The following is a 21,690-nucleotide window of genomic DNA, read 5'->3' on the forward strand; positions in this document are numbered from 1 at the left end:
CACCAAATGAGAATGGAGAAATTTCAAGGGCAATTTATCTAATTCTTTCCCTGTGCATATATATTTTTTTTTTTAAAGAAATTTGCCCTGGTCAGAAAAAGCACATTTTCCAGAGGGATTCTTTAATGATATTGATCTCTTGTGCATTACCTGGCCTCTGGTAGACCTTACATGATTGTCCCAATTAAGCTGCCAGGTGAGTTTCTTAATCTTTTTTTTTTCCTTTTTTTCTTGAAGCATCACAGATGATTTTAAAGTTGTTTTTAGGCCAGGTGCAGTGGTTCATGCCTGAAATCCCAGCACTTTGGGAGGCCGAGGCGGGCACATCACCTGAGACCAGGAGTTTAAGACCATCCTGGCCAACATGGTGAAACACCCTCTCTACTAAAAATATGAAAAAATTAGCCAGGCGTGGTGGCATGCACCTGTGATTTCAGCTACCGGGGAGGCTGAGGCAGGAGAATCGCTTGAACTGGGGAGGCGGAGGTTGCAATGAGCTGAGATCACACCACTGCACTCCAGCCTGGGCAACAGAGTGAGACTCCATCTCAAAAAAATATTTTAGTTGTTAATTATTAAAAGTTGTTTTAATAATTACTTTGCCATCAGGTTCTATTTTCCCAAGCAAAATGCTCACGGTGTGTGTTCAGCTTCTCTGCCCCTCTTGGCAGGATATAGCCATTCCCCGCTCAGCCCTGCCCACTTCCCACCACCCCCAGGCCCCCTGAGCACCCAGCAGCAACCCTCAGCCAGAGCCTGCCTCGGCCACAGCTCAGGGCTCTGCCAGCTCCACTGTTGAAGCCCTTATGTCACCTGTGTGTGTGTTCTCTTGGCCAAGTGTCCCCAGCAAGCCCTTTAGTGAAAGAGAGCTTCAAGGGGAGAGGCAAAATAGTGGCAAAAAGCAAATTATTACAGCCTGTGACAAAAGGTACTCCACACAAGCCTCTACCTGCCGCCAGGGCTGCGTCCTAACCAAAGACAGCCAGGCAATGATGGTGACTTTCAGAATGGGATGAGGCTGGGGGCTTGAGAGTTGCCCAGTTAGGGCGTGTGCATGAGTGTAGTGTGCCTGTATGTGCCTGTGTGTATGTACATGAGTGTATGTGCCTGTGTGTATGTGCCTGTGTGTATGTACATGAGTGTATGTGCATGTGTGTATGTGCCTGTGTGTATGTACATGAGTGTATGTGCCTGTGTGTATGTACATGAGTGTATGTGCCTGTGTGTATGTGTGCATGTGTGTGTGCCTGTGTGTATGTGCATGACTGTATGTGCATGTGTGTATGTGCCTGTGTGTATGTATGCATGTGTGTGCATGTGTTTATGTGTGCACGTGTGTGCATGTGTATGTACATGTGTGTGTCTGTGTGTAGTGTGCATGTGTGTATGTACATGTGTGTATGCATGTGTATGTGAATGTATGTGCATGAGTGTAGGCATAGGCATTTATATACCATTGTGAAGGAGATAACTGATAAATAGAAATGTTATTTAAAACAAGAAACAGCCTCAAAACACGTCCTCCACTCCGGATGCAGTAGGGAAAGTACGTTTCTGGGGTTGGGTGGGGTGGGACGCAGCTGGTGGGGCAGGTGGGATGTGTGTCCATTTAGGGATGCCTAAGTGAGCGGAGCATAGTAACCAGGGTCATGGTGGGTTTGTGGGCCATTGAGAAGGACGTGCTCTCCACGTGATGAGTGGGATTGGGGGCTGCAGCGGGGGCACAGGAAGTCAGCCCACGGTGCCTGGGTGGTGTGTGGGGGCAGATGCCTGTGGTGTTCAGCAGTGTTTCCTCTCTGGGGCGTTCACAGCATTTGGTGGAGGCCGCTATTCCAGCACTTGTCACACAGAATCCCTGCGTGTGGCCCTCGCTGATGAAGCTGCCTCCCGCCCTCCTGTGTCCCTGGTCCCTGCTCAGAAACCTCCGTGTGTCGTTGGCAAAGAGGAGCGTGTCCTGGTCCATGATGCAGATGCAGACACGGGTAGAAGAGGCAGCAGGTTTGATGCCGTCAGCTTTTCCGCTAAAGTGGTTAACCCGGGCTTAAGAAGCGCGCGTATTCATCTCAGAATGAGAGTCTATTTACGTCTCATAAATAAAATACCTTCATTTTTTCTAGTGTGTACAACAAACAAAAGCTCTATTTTATTTTTCATAATAGACCCAGACATGATTCTGTCTCAACTTGTGCTACTGAAAGGATTTCTGGCACAAGCGTAGCTTAAGATTCAACTTAAATAGTTTGGGCCTTACTAAGAACTTGTGCTCTTTGAAATGCACTAAGAATGAAAAGAGAAGCCACAGACAGGGAGAAAATATTTGCAAATCACACAGCCAATGCTGGACCAGTATCCAGAATAGGGAAAGCACTCTCAAAATTCAAAATTAAGAGGATAAATAACCCAACAAAAAATGGTAAAGGGATTTGAGCAGACACTTTGCCGAAGAAGACATATGAGAGACAGAAGAACACAAAGGACAGCCAGCACCATCAGTCATTAGGAAAGCGCAAACGCAAACCCCCATAAGACGCCTGGACACACCTGCGAGAGTGGCTGCAATAAAACAACCACAGAGAAGCTGATGACAGTGAATGCTGACAAGGATGTGGAGGGGCCAGGACCGCCACACACATGCGCTGGGGGCAGTCACAGCGGGCAGTGTGCCGGAGAAGAGGGTGGACACACACTCCCCCACACACGCGCGGGGGGCAGTCACAGCGGGCAGTGCGCCGGAGAAGAGGGTGGACACACACTCCCCCACACACGCGCTGGGGACAGTCACAGCGGGCAGTGCGCCGGAGAAGAGGGTGGACACACACTCCCCCACACACGCGCTGGGGACAGTCACAGCAGGCAGCGCGCCGGAGAAGAGGGTGGACACACACTCCCCCACACACGCGCGGGGGCCAGTCACAGCGGGCAGCGTGCTGGAGAAGAGGGTGGACACACACTCCCCCACACACGCGCGGGGGCCAGTCACAGCGGGCAGTGCACCGGAGAAGAGGGTGGACACACACTCCCCCACACACGTGCTGGGGGCAGTCACAGCAGGCAGCGCGCCGGAGAAGAGGGTGGACACACACTCCCCCACACACGCGCTGGGGGCAGTCACAGCGGGCAGTGCACTGGAGAAGAGGGTGGACACACACTCCCCCACACACGCGCTGGGGGCAGTCACAGCGGGCAGCACGCTGGAGAAGAGGGTGGACACACACTCCCCCACACACGCGCTGGGGGCAGTCACAGCGGGCAGTGCACTGGAGAAGAGGGTGGACACACACTCCCCCACACACGCGCTGGGGGCAGTCACAGCGGGCAGCGTGCTGGAGAAGAGGGTGGACACACACTCCCCCACACACGCACTGGGGGCAGTCACAGCGGGCAGTGCACTGGAGAAGAGGGTGGACACACACTCGGCGGAGGCCCCGGTGACACCAGCCTCAGTCACCTCCCGCAGGGTGAGGACGCTCACACCCCCTCCAAGACCCACACGGGACTGCCCACAGTGGCTTGGTTCATCGTCACCCTGAACTGGAAACAGTGACATGTTTTCCTATCAGGAGAATGGAGGAGTTAACACGGCTCCTCCCTGGGATGAAACACGACCCAGCCATGCCCAGGAAGGAGCTGCCGACAGTGAAACTCAAGACACGTCCTGCTCGGTGACAGGCACGGGCTCAGGCGACTGAGGACGGCTCCGTTTATGTGTCCTTCTCAAAATGGCAAAGTTACAGGGTCGGGAGGTGAAGCCATGGTCTGTAGAGGCTGGGGTGGGAACAGGAATGGGCCACAGAGGGTGCGAGAGGGTTCCAGGTGGTGGACCTATTTTACATTTGATGGTGCTTTTCAGCCATGTGTGCTTGTCAAAACCCAGCACCGTGCACCAAAGGACTGAATTTTCCTGTGTGTTAACGATACCTCAGTGAAACCTCAGCCAAGGTGAAGGAAGCAGCCAGGGCTTCTCTTAGTTGGAAAACATCGAAGGAGTGCTTGCAGCTGCCTGCCCCTCCGAGGCACCAGGGGGTCGGGGACGTCACTGTGTCCTTGGGGACCGTGACGACCGCAGTGCCGACACAGTGAGCCCCAGAATCGCCCTGTAGACCAGCTCACTCAAGCAAAGCTGCCTCTGGCAGGGCAATTCCCCTGTAGAGAGTGTGCCTTTTGACTTTACCTGTCCTCAGACTGACCTTTGCTCATGAGAATAGTGAAAAACGCAACTTGGGTGGAGGTTTAAGATGCTAATGAGGCACGTGATGTATGGACAAGCATGGACAGCTACTGCATGTGCACCCAGAGGGCCACCCAGAATGTGCGTACCAGCAACACCTCTCCCACCCCCGCCCGAAGAGTGGTGTGGGGCCCCCAGAGCTAGAGCCTCCCTCGGGCGGTCCTGGCTGACTCACTCTCCATCAGCCGCGCTGACTCGTCTTTCAGAGTGTACTTTTGCTTTTGCATTTAGTTTGCAGAGGGTTCTTTCTCTGTTGCAATAAACTGCTTTCTACTTCTGTGTGTCTCTTTAAATTCTTAACTGCTTTCTACTGCTGTGTGTCTCTTTAAATTCTTTTAAACTAAGAAGACAAGAACCGAAGGCTCTCAGTTGCCATCAACAATGGGAGCAGCTAAACACGACCCAGGCAAGACCTCCCGTCCATCGGGTTAAACCCGTAGTCCACTGCTGACTCCACAACTCTGCCCTTGTTCTTACACCAAAGCTCCCTGCAGAGAGCCCATGGGTGACATGAAGCTGGCCTCGGACACCACATCTTCTGGCTTCCCTGGCCTCTGGCCCTGTTGTTTCCTGGACCTTGGCCACGGCTGAAGTTCAGGCTCCTCGTGATAACAGGCTGCTGATGGCTTCTGATGAATGAAAACCCGGGCAAAGACGGTGCTTCTCCTCCCTCCTGGCCCCTTGCATGTTAGGGAAATTTGAGTAGCACAAAGAGAGATGGTCTCCCTGAGGGTCTTCACAAGGCCCCATCCAAGTATCTCCAGGATGTGGGCAGCTCTCTGAGCACACGGAGGTCCTTGCGACGGCCGCACACATGGTGGGGGATGAAAAACGTTTCTTTCTCTGGGAATCCTGGGGTGGGAACCTCACCTAGTGGCTAGGCGGACACACAGCACAGGGTGGATTCAGGCCCGCCTCACCCTATGAGAGAGGAGGGGCCCCTCTCAGGAACACTGGAGGTGGTTGATTGCGACCAAAGGCTCTGCCGTGGGGACTAATTCCCACCCTTGGAATTCAGTAGACTTTTCTGTTGTTGGATCCCCAGAAAGCCCCAAATCAAGTTTGAATTTCTCTATGGAAGACTGTGGCACCTGGAACCACAGAGCACGTTCCCCGTGACATGGGATGTGACACTGCTTATCAGAAGCCGCCTGGGTCTTCGGGACAGAGTCTACTTTAATGTAAACTGGAACCCAGGGAAGGTAAACTGAGACACAGCCCTGCGTGTTGACTTCAGGGTGGTTGGAGAGTTCTATGGAGAGGAAGGAACGTGGTGAGTGGTGGAGACAGGATTCAGGGCGCCATTCTGAAGGACCGGCCTTCAGCAGGGGACTCCGTATTCTGGTTTCCGGTCTATTTACAGCATCTCTCTCTCTCTCTCTCGCTTTCTCTCCCCTTTCCTGCCACACTTTGATCCATTCTCGTAAAGCAGGAGAGAGACTCCTTGGTTTATAGCCACTGTCTAAACATTGCGATGCTTTCTATGTGAGCATGGCAGTCACTCTGTTTCTATCTTTAATACTGTAACTGCTCATCGGTTTAGCTCTTCTCTACCAATTGGAGAAATGCACAAGATTCAGGGAGATCATTTGTGAGAAAAGGCATCGCTGTTCTTCAAGCCCCCATCTTCAAAGCAAACATCTCTCTGGCAGAACCCAAGAAAAATTCCAGTTGGGTTTTCAAGAGCTAATTAAGCCACTGCACGGCTTCATGCGAAACCCTTCTCCCTCCCCATCTCCTTCTCAGTTTCTTCAAGATTAGGCTGAGGTTGGAAAGCAAACCCGAAAGCATCTCCAACCGCGTTATTTCTGGGCTGTGTTGATGCATGAAGCCACATCTGGCTCAGGATGGAGACTCAGGGTCTGGGCAAGTTGACAAATCCAAAGGCACCTGCTGTCGAGCGAGGACTGAAGCCACCGCTGACACTGTGCCCAGCAAAACCAGCACACACGGACTATTAACTGGTCGACTTTGCTCCTGGGGGCGTGGAAGGCAGAATCAAAGTGAATAATGTAAGCATTCCCCAGGCAGGGCCGGCACACCCTGCTCTGGGAAAATAAAAATAAATGTTGATGCTGGTGGATTGTAAAATCCCCTACCACTTCCGTTATTCCATCCTGTGCTTTTGAGTCGAACACATTAAGCTCACCAGGGGAGACTGGCTCTGACATAGCGCTGTGTCCCTCTTCCTGAAACGAAAGCCGTCTGTCTGACGAGGACATTGAGGACCCGTAATTTACTACCTCTGCTACAATTCTAAATGCTCCCCCACCGCAGGGATTGAAACGTTCTTCCTATAATTATAGTGGAATCAAAAGTCTAGCCGGCTAATGCGTGGAGCTTCTGTGCCAGCTATTTATAATAGGGGCTTCTCAGCCAATATGTTGTTTTTAATATGTCATCTATATGACATTGTCAGGATCAACCTGTCCTTATTTTCTGTGTTTCTCCCCTAAAATAATATTATTACTTAAACATATAAATATTTGTGAGACTAAAAAGAAAAAGAAAAATACCTGAAAATGTAAAACCCAGCCAAGCCCGGTTGCCTCTTGGTTGGCCATGGAAGGATTCTTTGGGAGGGAGGCCCAGGGTGGGGTGTTGCTGGCTGCCTGAGGCCAAGGGGGCTCTCTGGGAAAGCAGTCTCCACACTCTGGGCCTGTTAGTCCGGGTCCCTGATGAGAATGGCCTTCTCTCTTTGGGAAACACTCCTGCTCCCTGGTAGTGTGGCGTCAACGGGGAGATGCTACCTAGTGTGGCCCAAGATGCGCTTTTGTCCAACTCATCCCACTCACAGATCCGGCTGTGGTGCAGCTTCGTGGCTATCTCACAGGTCACAGTGTTATTCTGGCATCGGAATCCCCCAGCGCTGCTATCCAAATTCTCTCCAACAGAGAAGGCGGCAGGCAGTGGCTGGTGCTGGAGAAGCCTCTAGGTCTGCCAAAGTCTGGTTTTGGCAGTCGGGGCTGGGGGCTCCCCCAGCAAGCAGCAGCGCTGTCCAACCCATTCTGGTCCAAGGACAAGTGGTGCCTTCCTTCTTCTGACTCAGACCCCCGGCTACCTTTCCCTTTCGCCTGCGGAAGCGACGGGGCGTGCATGGCAAAGCTGCCACGGAACAGGTGTGGAGGTGATGGTGAGTGGCAAACCTCCGTGCCCAAGTGGGACACAGCTTGTACTTTCTTGAATTGTTGAATTTGAAAGCTTGAAGAAGCCTGCAGGATCCACACCAACACTTTTGTTATTTTGCACATGAGAACACTGCAGCTTAGAACGTCGGGGTGTCTTGCCCAAGTGGCCCCGCTGGGCTGATGGGGTCCCCTGATTGCTACCACGTGTTCTTTCCAACACAGCAACGCTTTCTCGCTACCCAGTCTGTTCAGATTGCCCTCTAGGAATTGGAAACGGCCCCCAGATGCATCCATTTCTTCTCTTTCTGCATAAAGTGCTGATCACAGACACTGAAAGAGTCGTTTCTATTAGAGATGGGAACGTTGGACTGGGTTTAATGTGGATGTTTCTACAGCAGAACTAACAGAGCAGCACCTCCCCAGTGCCCCCTGCAAAGCACCGCGGTCTGCGCACGGCTCCGGGAGGTCACGGCCTTCCCTTTATTGGCAAACACAAAGCTGGCAGATGATACTTAGGAGTCACATCTCTAAGTCCACCGTCTTTATTCTCTTCCCTATTTGGATTTCTTTTTCAGTATTCTGATCTTAGAATTTGTACTGAAAAAGTGAAAAAAAATTGAAAACCGTTGGATTCTCCAGATTTCACTGGAGCTGATGATAATTATCACATTCTTAATACCAAACTTTTACACTTTTACACAAGTTCTTGAGAAGTCCCAAATTATGAAAACCTCTAGAATAGATTGGTGGGAGAATAATTGTCTCAACCATCCAGAAATCAGTTTATTGAATTGGTTGATTTGATGTTAGTTGTCGTAATTGATGACTGGTGCCTTCTGAGGAGAGAACAAAAAAGAAAACAGTGCTTTATCCTCAAGGCACCTGTGGGCTAAGAGGAGCCAGTAACACCTGGAGCTGTGATACTAGAAAAAGGTAACATGAGAGGAATCTGTAAAGTGCTATGAAAATCCACAAAAGGATGACAACTGCTAGAGAGATGGTAAAAGGGCTCCATGGCAGGTGCATTGCACAGGGGAAGTGGATTTCAAAATCATAGAATGAATCCAACCAGATGGAAAAAACAATCAGGTCTTGGAGACAAGAATAAACAGGGCTCTCCTAGGGAATGATGGGAGTTCAGTTTGGATGAAGCAAAGTGTCATTCCAGGGGGCATGAGGCCGGCGTGCCTGGGAGCCCGGGTAGGCTGGACTTTGTCAAGGGAACAACAGAGAACTGGAGACTCCCGGCCCTGGAGCGACCTTCCAAGGTCATCCAGCCTGACCCTCTCCCAGGGTCATCTGACCTGACCCTCTCCCAGCTGCGTCCATCCCGTCTCACACCTTCCTAGCCATGGTCCTGGGCAAATGATTCCCCTAGCCACTTACACACCCATTTCTGCTCAGCTGTAGCAAAATCAGTCAGATTAAAAAATAAGTTTTCAATACAAGTGCCTTCGAGGTCATGATGTGCTTATGTACTTTATCAAAATGTGTATCACCTACTCCTAGTCCAACTGCAGTACACACGTCTTTCCATATCCACGCACAGCATATCCTTCGCTAAGATGCTGCTGATGCAAATACACATCACTCTGCACTGTAGGCCCTGTGGGGCTAACAATGGCATCCCACGAAATCGCTGAAAATGTCAAATTAACAGAACTTTATACTTAGCAAAATGAAAATTGGCAACTCAAAACCATGACTAACTCAAAATAACAAGGGCTCTTCCCCTGACTGCAGGAATTCTGGGAGCCCTTTCACAGCCAGAACTTACTGTAAATGCATAATTTCAGTCTTTATTAACTCAAGAACACCAATTTTTAGCAAATTTTATGACTCATGTAGTGTAACGTGTAAATGATCATTAGATGTAAAAATAGATAAAAATCTATGGCATCAATTTCCTGTAAGAACCAGAGAAAAGAGAACCTATAAAAACACCTCCTGGCCAGGGGCGGTGGCTCACGCCTATAATCCCAGCACTTTGGGAGGCTAATCCCAGCACTTTGGGAGGCTGAGGCGGGTGGATCACAAAGTCAGGAGATCGAGACCATCCTGGCTAACACGGTGAAACCCCGTCTCTACTAAAAATACAAAAATTAGCCGGGCATGGTGGCAGGTGCCTGTAGTCTCAGCTATTCGGGAGGCTGAGGCAGGAGAATGGCGTGAACCCGGGAGGCGGAGCTTGCAGTGAGCCAAGATGGCGCCACTGCACTCCAGCCTGGGCAACAGAGTGAGACTCCGTCTAAAAAAAACAAAAACAAACCCAAAAAACACCTCCCATTTCTTAACAGCCTGGCAACCTACTGGAATGATCCCACAGGGGTGGTTTTTTCAACCTCAAAAGAATGGAAACTCACGATTCCACAAAGGATTTCATTCCGCAGAACACTCCAGAGAGGTTTTCTTCTGTTAGTACCAGCATTCTCCTTGTAAAACCTTCCCACCGTTCTCCTTCTGAAGCTCCACAGAGCAAGTAGAACTCTGTCTCCGTGTGTCCACTATGGGACGGCAGCTAATTGCCCTTCTTCAGTTTTATTTGGTGGGGGGCCGGGAGTAAAACTAAGAGCAGACCTTTGTACAATTTTTTTTTTTTTGAGATGGAGTTTCGCTCTTGTTGCCCAGGCTGGAGTGCAATGGCGAGGTCTCGGCTTACCGCAACCTCTGCCTCCCAGGTTCAAGCGCTTCTCCTGCCTCAGCCTTGTGGGTGGCTGGGATTACAGGCATACGCCACCATGCCTGGCTAATTTTTTTGTATTTTTAGTAAAGACAGTGTTTCTCCATGTTGGTCAGGCTGGTCTTGAACTCCTGACCTCAGGTGATCCTCCCGCCTTGGCCTCCCAAAGTGCTGGGATTATAGGCATGAGCCACCATGCCTGGCCTGTATAATTTCTTGTTAAACTTTATGTTGCTTAGTTGCTTATATTATTGTAATTTGGTGAAATACTTTTGCATCCTAATTCTGATATTTGCTACTTTATGTGTGCTTCCCAGGTCCCTGTGCCTTCACGAATTTATGGCCGTGTACACATGTTAGACATTGAATAACACAGGACCAAGGAGAGAACCTTGTCTCACCCTCCACATCCCCCTTCCTATGAACAGCGGTCTCTGGGTACCGTCATTTGACCAAAAAAGTACTTTAATTTTTGGTTGTGGTCATTTAACTACTTACACATCAAGTTTATTTATGCTATAATTCAATCCACACTATACCATCTTGCCCTCAGAGGAGACCCTAAAGTCTAAGAGTTCAACAAGCACATTGAGCCTCTACTGAGTGCCAGTGAGACGGCTGAGATGAGAGGGACGTGGCACCCACACGAGAAGGGCTTGTCTTGCTGCTTCTTTACAGCAAACTCATGTTGATGCTAAGCACAATGGCCGTGTGTAGGGTCTCAGGAGGAGGTGCTATGGCTGTGGCATCACCCAGGGAATACTTTTCTCCAGCTGACCATGCATGAGGGGCAAGGGTGGCCACAGGAGGAACTGCCCAAGCAGAGACCAAGGGCCATGCGGCTCAGGGGTCAGCCAGGTGTGACGAGCTCTGTGCCATAGGGGCGAGGGCCACGCGGCTCAGGGGTCAGCCAGGTGTGAGGAGGTCTGGGCCATAGGGGCGAGTGCCATGCGGCTCGGGGTTCAGCCAGGTGTGACGAGCTCTGGACCGTGGGGGTGTACCCAAGTGGACACCGGGCCAGGAGAGTCTTCCTCACCATGCTGGGGACTTGGAGGTATGCTGGGAGAAGGACCAGTTAGAGGAGAGAAATGTCATGCCTTCAAGAAAGATGGTGGCCATGGCCCAGCAGCCTCCTGGTCTCACAATCTAGAAACATCTGAAAAGGAAATCGGTCCGGCACAACCTCTTGATCGCTCTGTGCAATCACTTTTTGCCTGTGTTAAGTATTAATAAGTGATTTATTGAGTAATTTTAGCGATGGGAGGGCCCTGCCTGGGGATCTGCAGGGTGGGGGCAGGGCCACGCTCCTCACACTGACTTGAGGAGGCATGAACAGGGCAGGAGAGGGCTCCCACACACAGCAGGAGTGTCGGGTGCCATCAGGTGGCTGTCAGGCAGCCGTCACACTGTCTCTCTACGGTAATAGTTGGTCACAGCCGGCACCAGGAAAAAGCATCTCCCAATAGATAGAAATGCTTGGGACTGGTGATCAGCAGCTTCCCGATAGGATCTCAGGAACTGGGCTAGTGGGCTCAGGCGTGCACATGTGGACAGCCCACTCCAAGCGAAGAATCATGGGGGAAGGAACGTGGGGCCCTGGAAGCATGACAATGGATAAAACCCCAAGTCACAGGTCAAACCACGCACCCGTCCTTTGGAAGAGGCTTGGGCCTCTTCCAAATATACTTTCCTTCCCCTCATTTCTGCTCTGAAGATTTTAAATAAACTCTCACTCCTGCTCTAAAACTTGCCTCGGTCTCTTCTTCTGCCTTATGCCCCTCAGGCGAATTCTTTCTTCTGAGGAGGCAAGAATTGAGGTTGCCTGCCACAGACCCTAATGGATACAAATTTGCTGCTGGGATGATTGGATATATTTTGTTGTTGTTGTTGTTGTTTTGTTTTGTTTTTTTTTCCTGACAGGGCCTCACTCTGTTGCTCGGGCTGGAGTGCAGTGGTGTGATGTCTCACTGAAACCTTCACTTCCCGGGCTCAAGGGATTCTCCTGCCTCAGCCTCCTGAGAAGCTGGGACTACAGACGTGCCACCACCCTTGGCTAATTGTTTTGGTATTTTTTGTAGAGATGGGGGTCTCACCATGTTACCTAGGCTGCTCTTGAATTCCTGGGCTCAAGCTATCCACCTGCCTTGGCCTCCCAAAGTGTTGGGATTACAGGCATGAGCTACTGCACCTGGCCTCGGATCTGCATTTTAAAGAGTCACTCTGTCCCCAGAGCCACAGCTGTCTATAGAGGTCTATAGACATTAGGGAAATTTATTGGACTCATGGACTGGAAATCTGGGATAAGGAGAGAAGGGTTTTTGGGCAATTTGGGTGGCTTCTGGGGTGTTCACCAGGATGGAAAGTGTAAGAAGAGAACAAACCTTTGTGGTGGGGACAGGTGTCAAGTTCCACCCTAGAGCTGAAGCGTGGCCGATTACGGAGGAGCCCTTGGCAGGGGACCGGGTAGTTTCTAGTGCAGGAGATGTGCCTTTCCTTGCTGAGCCCCCGGATCACGGGGGAGCCCTTGACAGGGGGCTGGGTAGTTTCTAGTGCAGGAGACATGCCTTTCCTTGCTGAGCCCCCATCCCACTGAGCACCTGCTCTTCGGTTGCTGGCATCCTCTCCACTTTGTGTGAATGTCTCAGGCTTGATTCCTGCATGGCCTTCGCGTGTATCTCACAGTACACGTCACATCTGTAAATTAAAAGGCATCTTCTCCATGGACACCCTGCTCCTTCCTCCTGAGCTCCCAGCATCCTTGTGTAAATTCCAGGGAAATCGAGGGTAAAACTCGTTCCCGGCCCTCTGGGACGGCATGGCCCTGGGGAGGGTGAGAGGACACCAGCTGCAGTTTGGGGATGAGCTTCCATGATGGAAATGTCTGGGACACACGGAGCTCAGAGCAGGGGCAGCCCGGTCTACATTGGGGGTCAGTGGGTCTTCAGAAAGACTGATGGACACACAGGCCTCTTCTGCGGGCTAGGAGGAGGGGGATGCATCCCAGGAGGCTGGTGGCACCCAAGCAGGACTGTGAACTGAGTGACACAGCCGGAGCGGACGGGCAAGGCGATGCTGTGTCCACACACGCAAACATGACCCAGGCCACCTCCGTGTCCCAAGCACCTGGGAGAGGCTCTCAGCCTCCATTTGCTGAGTGAGACTGTCCGCCCACCAGGAGGCAGACCCAGTTCACCTGCACCCAGGATACAGGGGAGAGAATGCGTGGGAATGGATGAGCCCCAGGCAGCGGGTGGGTCGACTGGGTGGGGCATCCAAGCCTTGGGGAGATGAGATTTACGTGTGCAAAGTCGGGATGGAAACGCCTGTGTAAGAGTGCTGAGCAGGACTCCGGGAGGAGGCGGCTTCAGAAAGGCAAGGATGCTCGCAGGACTGCGTGTCACGGGGGGTCACGCACCACACGGCTGGACCGAGCCCGGGGCCTCAGTGACCGAGGCGGCGGCTGCCGGTCGTCCTGGAGGGAGAGCTGCCTGTGAATCTATTGCACAGTGGGTGGGACCCTGGTCTAATGGTGCCACGCCCACGGGGACCCCCACGGGCCGCTGCTACAGAGCAGCGGGTGCCAGCAGGTCAGGCGCTCAGGAAGAGGTGAAGAGAAATCAACGCGGCGTCGTCAAGCTCAGTCAGCAGGAGGACCCCCGGGGAGGGTCCGGCACTCAGGAGCCCCCCCGGGGCAGGAGGGGCCTCTTCCTCCCAGACTGAAGCCAGAGGCAGGTCTCCCGCTGCTGCTCTAGGGGCTTAGGTGGTTTTGAATAACTACTGTGGAGAAAGGAAACTTGACCGCAGGCTGGGTTTGACAGTGTATCTGCGCACCTTTTCCCCTTGGGCTTCCTGGTTGGTTTAGTGATGAGTCTGTTTCAGGTGCTGTGACGGGAAGGCAGGGGCCTTCACTCTCTTGCTTTCTGTCCCTGAGCAGCACATTACCCATCCCGGGCCCCAGCGGCCTCCTCTGTGGGGAGGGGACAGCAGGGGAGGGGCCTGGAGTCTCCAGAGTCGTGCTGTGCGGACAGGGAAATCCTTGAAATACCCTCAGGATTGCCCCAGATGAATTTGAAAATTGGAAGAGAAGGAGACACACGTCAGGAAGACAAACAAAAGATGTGACACCTTGTTTTTTCACCTGGCACATTCTGGCATATTTTTTAAAGTTCAGCCATTTGAGCCAGACCTTATTATGAGAATTCTATGAACGCTTGATGTGTGATGGATATTTTGCATAAATTTGGATGGAACTGAAGTTTGAAGAGAGATAGGGCTGCCCAATGGAAAGAAAATGTGGAAATCAATTACCCTTTGCATGGAGCCTTATCTCAGGATGCAAAGGCCACCGGCAATGAGGAGGGAAATGCCCCCACAACTGGAGGTAATTGTGTGAATTTTCTAGGCCACAGAGGATGGTTTCTTCACTACAAAACACGAACATTTTTGTTTCACCGAGTCTAGATGGCAGTCTTTTGTCTTGGAGACAGTTAAGTGTTACTGTGAGAAAATTCTCAGCTGCTTTGAAAACAGTGAAAACTCTTTGCATTTTTAACAAAAGAAATGCATTTTGAAGGTGGGAAATTGTCACTAGTGATTAAAGAGAAAGCTCTGCAGAAGTAAAACATCCTTTGAAGGGGTGAGAGAAGGAGAAGGAGAGAAAAAAGGAAGAGAGAGAGACAGAAAAAGAGAGTGGGAGGGAGAGAGAGGCAGAGAGAGAAAGGGAGAGATGAGGGCTGCAGGAAGGAGCCTGGAGTGGAGCCAGGGGGGCCTGCCTCAGGTGGGGGCCAGTGTGGAGGTCGAGGTCCAGCCCAGGGTGCCCAACTGCAGGTCTCTGGCAAGGGCCCTTGGCAGGGAGAAGCCCCAGGCCCTGCAGGGCAGAGCTGGGCTGAGTGGGAAGAAGGCCACACCTGGGGCTCAGGTGGTTGCTTTCAGTGTCCTGCGTGGTGACTGTGCTCGTAAAAGTCCAGTTCTTGGGGGATAAATTCCAGGCTCCTGAAGACGCCTGGGCTGCCTGATTGACAGCCCAGAAGCTGAGGCCTGAACGCATCTGCCAGGTGGTTATTGCTCTGCTTCCATGGAAACGCACACAGGACGGGGGAGCTGAGGTGAGGTTTTAAAGACAGCCTTCTTTTTATAACTTCCCTACCTTATCCTCTTCCATCTGACCGCCGTTTCCATGGCAACCAGATCAGAAAGGCCATCGGCCTCACGAACTCTGATTTGCACGGTGGATTTGCCAAGTGCCAGGCACCGCCATGCATCCAGGGAGGCAGAGGCGTCCCCGTGCATCCAAGTCACCCGAGGCCAGCTGGATGGAAAGGGCCAGGAGGTTGCAGGTGCCACGGCCCTCTGGGGTGTGGAGGGAACTCTAATTTCTGAACCCAGCCTGGGTGCCACAAGTGAGGGTGGCCGCATGATATTCACATGCTCGGGAACACTCCTGGCCCACAGGGACTTCCTTTCTTAACAATCAGAGACACAAGTGCTGGGCTGCCCACGGGTTCCGGATGCTGACCTTGTGGCAAATCATGATGACTCTCCCCAGATCCCCACCTGGCCTACGATCCAACCCCTAGAGCACCTTCACAGCCACGCAAGGGCACCCTCCCACTGCGCAGCACTGCCTCTCACTCATGGCTGTGAAACTTGGGTTGCCCGATCCTGCAAACGCTGGCTTTCTCCTCTGACCCATGGCTAACACCACTTCCTTACAGGAGAAGTGACTGCACTGATCAGAAGTGTGGAGTCCTGATAAGATTAGTAAGTAACGTTGAGGAAGGCGCTACAGGTCGGGGAGAACAGTTGTTCTGAGAGACGGCCAATCACAGGCAACTGCTGGCATGACATGCTGTTCCCAAATACCTCACTCCACAAGTAGCCCCAGCAGCATGACCTTATCTGCCCATGGCCCCCTCCAGCATGACCCTATACAGCTTCCTTCCAGCCCTGCTTCTTTGCAGACGGCCCCTTTTCTGCTGTGCTGCCCATTGCTTTCTTGCAACGTATCTTCGTGCTTTCTCTAATAAATCTGCCTTCTTTACCCACGACTGTCTTGGTAAATTCTTTTACCACCCGTGACACCAGCCCCAGCCATTGCACCCACAACAACACGGTGATGTGCCAGAAGCAATGAAAAGCCATCCATACATAGATAAAAATATGGGGACCAACATGAAGCGTCAGCCTGTGCGCCTCTTTCCAGACGATAGGCGGGGTGCTTAATTTTCAGAGAATGCCTTCGTGACTATTTCCCTTAGACATAAATAGAGACCACAGCCACGTGTTATTTCATGCTATGTTTAAATCTAACTTGGGACTTCTGTGGGCCACACATGTCTTTAACAATCCTGTGGCGGGCAGGTGCCTCCCCAGAACGCTTCTCACAGGTGCACTGGGAGGTTCCCTCCTGCCCTGACATGCATCCCAGGGAAGAGCCCCTCTGCTGGAGGACTAAGAGGGTCCATGTGGGATCCTGTGATGCCCAGGTAAACTGTCCCACTGTGTGCCTGTGCTTGGGTTCTCTCCCTGTGAAAAACCCGACTGCAGCAAACCTCCCCGAGCCTTTACTGAGCTGTGAGTGAGGATCTGGGCCTGCAAAGCCAAAGGAGACGCCAGTGCTGCCCTAACAGGCAGAGACTCCAGTCATGGGAGCTCTGCTGGGCCTTTCTAGTCCTAGAACAGTGTGCAGTGTCTTAGGAAGTACATAGCATTCAGGCGTGATGTTATTCTCTTTCATGTCTCAGTAAAACTCTGAGCTGCACAGATGTGATGGAAGCCCTGGGAACAGCGTCACGGACATCAGAGGGGGTGGGTCTTCTGTGTCTCAACCTGGCGTTGGCACACGGCATGGAGGTTTCCATGGCTGGATATAAGTAGAGTCATGAGAATGCCTCTGTCATCTGCTCTACACTTCCTTAGTATCTCCGTTTAAGTAACTTAGTACCCTGGGTCCAACTCTTAAATTTGTTGGGGAAAATGTCCTAAATCTAGACACAGACATTGTTGTTTGAAAGAGTTCAGCTTCTCAAAATGATGATGAGCACCGTCACTAACTGCTGACCATCAGGAGAATGTCAAAATAAGGACCCTCAGACGGGAGAGCACCAAAACAAGGACCCTCAGATGGGAGTGCGCCAAAACAAGGACCCTCGGACGGGAGAGCACCAAAACAAGGACCCTCGGACGGGAGAGCACCAAAACAAGGACCCTCGGACGGGAGAGCGCCAAAACAAGGACCCTCGGACGGGAGAGCGCCAAAACAAGGACCCTCGGATGGGAGAGCGCCAAAATAAGGACCCTTGGACGGGAGAGCACCAAAATAAGGACCTTCGGACGGGAGAGCACCAAAATAAGGACCCTCCGACAGGAGTGCCAAAATAAGGACCCTCAGATGGGAGAGTGCCAAAATGGGAACCCTCAGGTGGGAGAGAACCAAGATGGGGACCCTTGGAGGAGGAGGGGCCTGCAAACAGATGGGTCTTCACCAACGAATCCAATAGCTGGTAGCACCCTCCCAAAAGGTAAGCCAGCAGTCTATGGCATAACAGCCAAGAGGGGAGTGGGGCTGCAGCTGTCTTGGGCAGGGGCAGCATAGGTTGTGTATGTGTGGCCGCATCTCAGCCTCTCAGCTACAGGGTGACCTCTCTGGGTCAACCAGGATCCCAGTTAGTAGCTGCAGTACAGAGTCCAATTCTTAAGGCAGGAGTTAGGCTGAAGGCTGGGACTCCATTCAGAGGGACTGTTTGGAGTGAGGACCGGGGGTACAGACCAGAACCCAGGCAAGGCAGCAGCCACGTGGAGCAGGAAGAAGCCCTGATGTGTGACAGGTTTGCTGGGGCCCAGGCAGTAGCAGATCACCCATGACACGTGAATGACAAGTTAGGGATAGCAGATTCCTTTCAGACCCTCGGCCTCACACGGCGGGTTTGTGTGGCTTCAGGGCCCGGACAGCAGAGGCTGGGAGATGGAGTTTTGGTAGAGCAGCTTGGAGTAGAGTAGGTAGGATCTCACAGCCTAGCTTTTGATTGAAAACCTGTTTCTGAGAGGAACCCAGGACAGCCTGCTGAGGAAAGCAGGAAATCCAGAGTCGGGTTCTGCCTCCTAAACCATGGGTGGCATTTGGGCGTATGGAGGGCAGAGCCCTATAGGGAGGGGAGAGGCTGAAGAGGGGTGGCGGCTCCAACATGTAACTGGTTTCCACCAATAACACCAGGCCGGAGGTCAATTTACTTAGTTATTTGAGGGATTCATTTTACTATTGATTTATGTTGATCAAAGCTGAGAACAATGATTTACAGGGAAGTGTATTTGAAGGACACACACTTCATTCATTTGTCAAGAGAAGGTTTAGCTTCTCTCAATATCAAGACAAAACATCGAAGGACTCCGTGCTTAAGCCAGGTTCTTTGGGGCCCTCCATAGACGTGCTTTACTCCATAGACGTGCTTTACTCCATTGCATTTTGGATTATGCACCCAAATGACACACAGAAGAGATGGAAGGAGCTGTCTTTAAAAACTCAACAAACTGGAAATAGAAATAAATGCTCTCAATATGATAAAAACCATATACAAAACAAAAAAAAACCTACAGCGAAAATTGTACTCAATGGTAAAAGACAGAAAGCTTTTCCTCTAGAACAGGACAAAGAGAAAGATACTTTACCACTTTTATTTAATACAGTATTGGAAATTTTGGCCAGAGCAATTAGGCAAGATGAAAGAAGTAAAAGGCATCCTACTTGGAAAAAAAGAATTAAAATTATCTGTTTGCAGGTGACCTGATATCATATGTAGAAAAACTAAAAGCATTGTTAGAACTAATAAATGAATTCAACAAAGTTGCAGAATATAAAATCAACACTTAAAATTAGTTGCATTTCTATGTACAAACAATGATCAATCTGAAAAGGAAATTAAGAAAAAGTTCTGGCCGGGCGTGGTGGCTCACGCCTGTAATCCCAGCACTTTGGGAGGCCAAGGCGGGCGGGTCACTAGGTCAGGAGATTGAGACCATCCTGGCTAACATGGTGAAACCCCATCTCTACTAAAAATACAAAAAATTAGCTGGCCGTGGTGGCTGGCACCTGTAGTCCCCGCTACTCAGGAGGCTGAGGTAGGAGAATGGTGTGAACCTGGGAGGCGGAGCTTGCAGTGAGCTGAGATTGTGCCCCTGCACTCCAACCTGGGTGAAAGAGTGAGTGAGACTCTGTTTCAAAAAAAAAAAAGTTCCATTTATGGTCTCATCTAAAAGAATAAAATACTTAGGGATAAACTTAACCAAGAAGGTAAAAGCCTTGGATACTGAAAACTACAAAACATTGTTGAAAGAAATAAAAGACATAAATAAATGGAAAGACATCTTATGATTGGAAGGCTTAATATTATTAAGTGGATAACACTACCCAGTGTAATCCACAGATTCAATGTAATCTCTATCAACATCCCAAGGACTTTTTTTCAGAAATAGAAAAACCCATCCTAAAATTCATGGAATCTCGAAGGGCCTTGAATGGTCAAAATAATCTTTAAGAAAAGGAGAACAAAGTTGGAGAATCCTGACTTCACTTCCTGACTTCAAAACGTACTACAAAGCTACAAATCAAAACAGAGTGGTGTTAGCATACCACACACAGACCAATGAAAGAGAACAGAGGGCTCAGAAATAAACCTTTGCATATGTAGTCAAATGAATTTTGACAAAGGTGCTGCAACTAGTCAATGCAGAAAGGATAGTCTTTTCAACAAGTGGTGCTGGGAAAACTGAATATTCACATGTAAAAAAGAGTGAAGTAACACCAGCTGCAAAAACAAACTCAAAATTGATCAAAGACCTAAATATATGACCTAAAACTATAGAACTCGTAGAAAAGCTCATCAGGGAAAAGCCTCATGACACTGGGTTTGGCACTGATTTCTTGGAATGACACCAAAAGCATAGGTGATGAAAGAAGAAGTAGATAAATTCTACTTCACATTTAAAAGCTTTTATTCCTCAAAGGACACCATCAAGGGAGTGAAATAGAAACCCACAGAGTGGGAGAAAATATTTGCAAATCATATATTTGATGAGAGATTAATATCCAGAATATACAAAGAAATATGGGCTGGGCACAGTGGCTCACGCATCATCCCAGCTGAAGTGTGCGGATCACGAGGTCAGGAGTTCAAGACCAGCCTGGCCAACATGGTGAAACCCCATCTCTACTAAAAATACAAAAATTAGCTGGGTATGGGGGCGGGTGCCTGTAATCCCAGCTACTCAGGAGGCTGAGGCAGGAGAATGGCTTGAACCCAGGAGGTGAAGTTTGCAGTGAGCTGAGATTGTGCCACTGCACTCCAGCCTGGACGACAGAGTGAGACTCCATCTCAAAAAAAAAAAAAAAGAGAATAGAAAAGAAATACAAGTCAACAACACTTAACCCATCCAACTTAAAAACTGGCAAAAGATTTGAAGAGAGATTTATCCAGAGAAAGTGTACACATGGCCACTAAACATATGAAAAGATGCTCAACATGACAAATTATTAGAGAAATAAAAATCAAAACCATGAGAGACCACTTCATACCCATGAGGATGGCTATTACTAAAACACACCACAGGAAATGTAATTATTGGTGAGAATGTGGAGAAACTGAAACTTGTAAATTGCCAGTGTGAATATAACGTGGTGCAGCCACTTGGGAAGAACAGTATGGCGGTTCCTTGGGAAAAGTAAGCATGATTCCTAACTTGCACTTGTGGGTATACGTCCCAGATAATTGAAAGTGGGGCTAGAATGGATATTCAATACCCATGTACACAATAGCGTTATTCACAACAGCCAAAAGGTAGAAACAACCCAAGTGTCCATCAGTGCACGAATGGATATCCATACAATGGACTGGAATTCTGGTTTGTGCATAATGGAGGCATTAGGCTAAGTGAGATGAGCCGGCCATGAAAGGACAAATCCTGTGTGATTCCACTTGCATGAGGGACTGAGAGTTGTCAAATTCGTAGAGACCAAAAGCAAAATAGAGGTTACCAGGAGGAGAAGTGGGAGTTCGTGTTTAATGGGGACAGAGTTTCAGTTTGGAAGATGAAATGGTTCTATGGGTGGATGGTGAGGTGTTGGCACAACACTGAGAAGGTGCTTAACATGATGGAACTGTACACTAAAAAGTGGTAAATTTTGTATTATGTGTATTTTACCACAAAAAAGATGAAACACCCACATACCCAGCAAAGCTGTCTCACGATATTCTTGTTGTCTGCATTGGAATGCAGTGAGGATGACAACCCTTGTCAGGACTGCTTATGTGGACACTCGTGCAGGACCCTTCTTCCATCTGTGTTCTAGGTTTCTCGGGGGCCATGGACAGACATTGTTCCCTATGAATAGCAAGTTCACAAAACTGTGAAGCTGTCAAAATTTTCTTTATACTTGGGCTGCAAGGAAGCCCCATGCTAAATTTGTAGCTCAACTTGTAAATTGCCCATGTATGTGTTCTAACTTTCCAGTGAAATTATGTTTTTATTTTTCCTGTTTCTGGACATGATTTTATTTCATTTCCTGTTTAGTTACACTAAAAGCATCCTAGTAACTGAGTTCAATGTTCCTGTACACTGTGTTGTGCTAATTATTATAACTAGAGCTTTGAACCTATGGTAAA

At 50.0% G+C, this 21,690-nt stretch overlaps 1 protein-coding gene across 1 annotated transcript in view, besides 3 other annotated features; it reads right to left on the minus strand.

Annotated features, from left to right (window-relative positions):
* Nucleotides 1–21,690, minus strand: part of ADARB2 (adenosine deaminase RNA specific B2 (inactive)) — a 560,213-nt gene that overhangs the window by 284,139 nt on the left and 254,384 nt on the right. The window lies entirely within an intron of this gene.
* Nucleotides 3,971–4,680: an enhancer, noted in NCBI's record as "H3K4me1 hESC enhancer chr10:1507617-1508326 (GRCh37/hg19 assembly coordinates)". NCBI's record gives its function as "activates a minimal SCP1, AML or CMV promoter by ChIP-STARR-seq in naive H9 embryonic stem cells {active_cell/tissue: H9 hESC(naive)}" and the evidence as "EXISTENCE:reporter gene assay evidence [ECO:0000049][PMID:30033119]".
* Nucleotides 13,079–13,598: an enhancer, noted in NCBI's record as "H3K4me1 hESC enhancer chr10:1516725-1517244 (GRCh37/hg19 assembly coordinates)". NCBI's record gives its function as "activates a minimal SCP1, AML or CMV promoter by ChIP-STARR-seq in primed H9 embryonic stem cells {active_cell/tissue: H9 hESC(primed)}" and the evidence as "EXISTENCE:reporter gene assay evidence [ECO:0000049][PMID:30033119]".
* Nucleotides 13,599–14,117: an enhancer, noted in NCBI's record as "H3K4me1 hESC enhancer chr10:1517245-1517763 (GRCh37/hg19 assembly coordinates)". NCBI's record gives its function as "activates a minimal SCP1, AML or CMV promoter by ChIP-STARR-seq in primed H9 embryonic stem cells {active_cell/tissue: H9 hESC(primed)}" and the evidence as "EXISTENCE:reporter gene assay evidence [ECO:0000049][PMID:30033119]".

This window comes from Homo sapiens, chromosome 10 (assembly GCF_000001405.40).
Source record: "Homo sapiens chromosome 10, GRCh38.p14 Primary Assembly".
NCBI lineage: Eukaryota > Metazoa > Chordata > Mammalia > Primates > Hominidae > Homo > Homo sapiens.